This window comes from Homo sapiens, chromosome 2, assembly GCF_000001405.40.
Source record: "Homo sapiens chromosome 2, GRCh38.p14 Primary Assembly".
NCBI lineage: Eukaryota > Metazoa > Chordata > Mammalia > Primates > Hominidae > Homo > Homo sapiens.
The window spans coordinates 17,080,719-17,086,054 of record NC_000002.12 but is presented as its reverse complement, the minus strand read 5'-3'; the positions used below and the strand labels follow the sequence as shown (position 1 = coordinate 17,086,054).

General features: G+C 38.6%; 1 annotated feature.

The window, feature by feature from the left end:
* Nucleotides 1,799–2,400: an enhancer, noted in NCBI's record as "NANOG hESC enhancer chr2:17264922-17265523 (GRCh37/hg19 assembly coordinates)". NCBI's record gives its function as "activates a minimal SCP1, AML or CMV promoter by ChIP-STARR-seq in naive H9 embryonic stem cells {active_cell/tissue: H9 hESC(naive)}" and the evidence as "EXISTENCE:reporter gene assay evidence [ECO:0000049][PMID:30033119]".

Sequence of the window (5,336 nt, the reverse complement as noted above, 5' to 3'; positions counted from 1 at the left end):
TTTACTTTTTCCACTTTATTTTATTTTATTATGTTCTGTTTATGTTTCTCTATTGACAGAGTGGCCATCAGTGGGAAGAAAATCTTTTTATGTAGATAAAAATCTGTGATGGTTGGAGCTGTTGGAGTAAAGAAAAAAGAAATGTAGATGCACCAATAAACGAAATGCCTTTTGAAATATTTATCTAATCACTGTAAGATCTTACTACTGGTTTTAGAGATATAACTTTATAAAATTTATTACTCATGTGATATTTCTCTGAGATGCTTTGATCTGTGAATTCATTTTGTTTCAGCTCCTCCCCTCAGGTCTGGCTCATACAAGCTTCTTTGCAGCTACCAAAACCCACCAGCTTAAGGACTGTGTTTTCAGTTTTTATACAGTCAACGTCTATTTAATATGTGACACATACTAGGTGCAAAGTCTATGTGTGTGAAACTAGTTCATAATTTAATGGATTTAATTTATTGATTTCTAGACTAATAGGATTTGTGATTCATGTAGAGGAAGATGAACATTTATCTCTAATCCCAGGCTTCAACTTTGTAACCCTCATCAGCCTTTTCCACTCTGGCTAGAGTTTCAGGGCCTTTTCTAAGTGTGCTGCAGCCCAGGTCTCTTCTTAGGTGAAAGTGGGTGGGGTAATAAGGTTAGCCAGAGGAAGAGAATGTCTTTGTCCCACAATCTTTGTCCTACCTAAGAAAGAAAAGGATAAGCTTAAAACAAGTTGGAAAACAGAGGTAGCCAAAGCATCCAGAAAATGTGTGTTGTGCTTCAATATAAGCAGCAGAAATAATGTCAGTTACTCACATTGCTCTACATCTGAGCCTATTTGTACCTTTGGGCTCTGTTAGTCTAGATTGTTTTGGTAGCCTGTGGTTGATGGCTAAAGATAATAGGGTAAAGGCAGATATTTTTACTGCAGTGAAGTATTCAGTATGTAATGCTGCAGCATGGGTAATGACATTTCTCATTAAACAGATGTTTCCTTTAGGAAACATGCTTATCCTTATCTTGCTACTGCTACTCAAACATAAAACATCCTACATTTAATGAGAAAAGTCATTCCTAAAATAGGCCACATGGAGAAGTAGATGGGAGATGGGATCCAAAGATACACATCCCTTTCATCTATTCATGTACTGAATACCTCCTCTGTTCCAGGTTTTACACAAGGCGCTAAGATGTCTGGCATATTTGTACTAAAATGAAAAACCGGATCTCTGCTGTCAAATAATTATCAGTAGACTAGGGGAAATAGAAAAGTAAGCATATACAAATGGCAGTGCACTATGATAATTGCTATAAAGCTTCCATGAGCCCATGGGGAATAAGAAACTAAATCTCCTTTGGGCCCTAAGGGAAAGTCATACGGACAAGAAGTGTTTAAGCTGAAATTTGAAGGTTTTACAAGAGCTTTCCAGGTGGACAAGTCTGGAGAATGCATTTTAAGCACAGAAGTTCAGTGAACTATAAGGAGTTGAGTTCACCTGAAGTGTAAGAATAGTAGAAAAATAAGATAGGCACCTAGGCAGAGTAAGATCATGAAGAGTCTTCTTTGCCAAGCCTGTTGTTTTAGATTTTACCACGCGGGAGATGAAGTATCATTAGTGAATCTTATATAGAAAAGTAGCATGTTCACATTTGCTTATTGAAGTTATTACCATAATAGTGATATTGAGGAGGAGCTGGAAGATGTGTTTCAATGACCATTAATTATCAGTTGATTAATGACTGGAATGTCATGCAGTTAATTAGCAAAGCTGCATGCCTGTTAGTTCTTAGGCTTAGCGTTACATAGGAGGAAAAAAATATAAAGAGGAATGTGCTCAACTGTGGTTAGACAGCCTTGGCATTGAGTCATAGTGGCCTCTCCATGGCCAAACCTACTGTAAACTATTTAATTGGTTCTCCCATCTGTTTCTCTTTCAAGTTTCCTATGTGAAGAGATCAGATATGTAGCTCCCTGGGCATCACAGCTGGCTCATAAAGAAAGATTCCTTTCTGTAGGAAACCAATTTAGCACTAGCCTCTTCTGCCTTATTCTCCTATCACTTTTAAGTGCTCTAATCACAGTCTGTTTTCCAACTAATTAGTGTTGAGACAACTCAGCCCTGAACCTCAACTTGAAAATGCTGGTGTCATGGGGAGAGAGCACTTAATCAAATGACTTGTGATTATTCAACAAAGAGATTTTCTGTGATTAAAACTGCCATACTTTCTAAGGCCTTTGGTCTTCTCTCTTAACACTGGGCAGGCTCTGCTATGGCAAAGCTGCCATGGGCACAGATAACCCAACATGATGAAAAGACTTGCGTTTTCACTGAAATCAGAGTACTTTTAAACAGTTCTCTACTGGCTATTAATTTTTAAAAATATTTGTCTCTTACCATAGGAATGGTTAAATAACTTAGTTTTATAGGACAGCTTGTCTTGTCCTCACAAGCTTTTCAGTCTGTAAACATTACTGCAGGTCTAATTGTGTTAAAATATTTATTTTCTTGTTTCCTTGGAGTATTTTCTGCCAGAAGAAATACTTTTTTTTGGTATATGTTCTTGACAGTAAGTAAGCTTCTAACTTGGTCTCTTCTAGATGTGGGAGGCAACTTGGGAGCAGTGGAAGAGTCTCTGGATCCTTGAGACAGGCAGATCTTGGTTAGAATAAAACCCCTCGGCCGGGCACGGTGGCTCACGCCTGTAACCCCAGCACTTTGGGAGGCCGAGGCAGGCGGACCACCTGAGGTCAGGCGTTTGAGGCCAGCCTGGCCAACATGGTGAAACCCTTTTTCTACTAAAAATACCAAAAATTAGTCAGGTGTAGTTGCAGGTGCCTGTAATCCCAGCTGCTCAGGAGGCTGAGACAGGAGAATCACTTGAATCCAGGAGGCGGAGGTTGCAGTGAGCCGAGATTGCATCATTGCACTCCAGCCTGGGCAACAAGAGTGAAACTCCATCTCAAAAAAAAAAAAAAAAAAAGAGGATTAAACCCTTCACTCATTGTGTAATTTCAGACAAAGGACTGTGCCCATCCTTTTAGAAATGAAGCTGACATATACTTCTTAAAGTTCTTATGATAATAAAATGAAATAAATTATCTAAAATACTTCCTAAAGCATCTGCTAAGGTCTGAAGGGATTATTTAGTAACAGCTAAATTGTAGTTGTTTAAATAGAAACCATAGTGCTTTGTTTTCTGGTCTCTCATAATCTTCCCTAAATATTTGCTTTTCACATGGCTTTCTTACTAGGTTTCATGAACCAGAAAAAACAATAAATTCACTTAAAAGTAAGTAACTTGTTAATATGATGAGTATTACTTACCAGGTTGCTCTGGGAGGATACTGACAATCCTCAAAGTCTGAACTTGTAGATTAAGCTTTAGTAACTTTACTCACAGCTAAGACAGTGCTAAAATGGTGTGATTTTCCTCTGCAGACTTTGCATGGGCTCCATGCAAGGATCGGAGTGCCCTTCAGACCTTGGATTCTGAGGACTGCTTGTCAAAACTGACTTTTTCCCATCAGACACTGCCAGCCCTCTAATTTGTTTCCATTTGTTTGTGATAATGAATCCTTGAATTGGCTCCTCTAAAGCAAGTTCAAACATGTTAACAGCATTTGGTGAAATATTGATGATCTCTTCTCCTAAATGGTAGCATTTGCAGTCCAGAAAAGCGAGAGCATTAAGTGCAGTCTATAGGCAGTGGAGAAATAAATCTTTCCCTGTATAATCACATGCTGGGGGAATTTACATTGAAGGGCTTCTTCTAAGCCATGTATTCATGGACAGGGTAAGGAATAAAAGTAGCAAGATAGGGTTGGTGGTAAGAATAGGGGCTTTGGAGCCAGGCAAATGTGATTTGTATTCCAGCTCTGATTCTCACTAGCTCTGTGACCCTGGACCAGGAATTGAGTTCCTCATGCCTTCAGTTTTATCCTCAGCAAATATAGACAACAAATCTAATTTGTAGAATTTGTTTGGAGGATAACAGATAATGTGTGTAAAGTGTGTAGCAGAGAAACTAACACACTGTTGGTGCTTGGTAAGCAGTGGCTAGGATTACTGTCATATGACAGACTAGACAAGGGCTCTGTAACCTCTGACATTAAGTCCACTCTTGCGCTACAACCTTAGTGCACCACCTGGTCTGATGCTGAATAGCTAACCATAGATAGGTTGGACATTCTGAGCAATCCCAACACCACAGTGCCTGCCTTCTCCTCACTCTGAGGAAAATCTAATTCATAACCCAGTGGACAACTGCCTGCTGATGAAATTATGCCAGAATGTGAAATGTGACAGAGACTAGCCCTCTGTTTTTCAACTTTCTGTCCTGAGAAGGAAGAAGAGGGACAGTAAGTATTTAAATGAGTCTACTTCAAAGGCCAAATCTCCCTAGGATACAGGCTCTTGGAAAGAGAACAAGGCTGATGTTCTCAGCAAAAGCTGAAATAACACAGGTTCAGAAGGTAGGTGATGGTGAAGCCCTCTAGTGAAAGAATCTGAGACACTCGCTATATTTATGCAAACCTACTCATAGTACGTAGTTTCTTTCTTCTGTTTCTTTGCTCTCCAGTCAAACTAGCCTATATCTAGAACACCACATTTGTTGAACATTGTCATGTCATTATTTCGATTATACTAATTTCATGGCCAAGAATGTTTTTGTTCTATTTTCAGTCTAGATAAACCTACTCATTGTTGGTCCAGAAGCCACGTAGACTGAGTTAAAATTCTGACTCTACCACTCATGTAGCTGTGTAAATTTGGGCATATAATAGAGCCTTTCTGTGCCTTAGTTTTTTAATTAATAAAATGATAAAACATAACAGGCTCCTTGCCACACATAGTGTGGGTGCAGCTGGTGTCACCAGCATCACTAAAGTATTTATTAATAGTGTAGAATCTCAGCCTCCACCTCAGACTTTCTGAATCTCAATCTGAATTTTCACCAGATCCCCAGGAGATGTATATGCACATTAAAGTTCAAGGTGTGCTTATGGTAGCTACATGATAAAGAAATTTTGAGGTTTAATTGCAGTGATAGATATAAAGCAGTTATGTAAAACTAACATACATACTAAGTGCTGAATAAACATTAGCTATTACAATCATGTGCCACATAGCCTAATTTCAGTCAATGATGGACTACATATACCTTGATGGCCTCATAAGTGTAAAATAGAGCTGAAAAATTCCTGTTTTCATAGTCCAACACAGTATCTTTTTTATATTTTGATACATTTAGATAAATGAATACTTACCATTGTGTTACAATTGCCTACAGTATTCAGTATGGTAACATACTGTGCAGGTTTGTATCCTAGAAGCAATAGG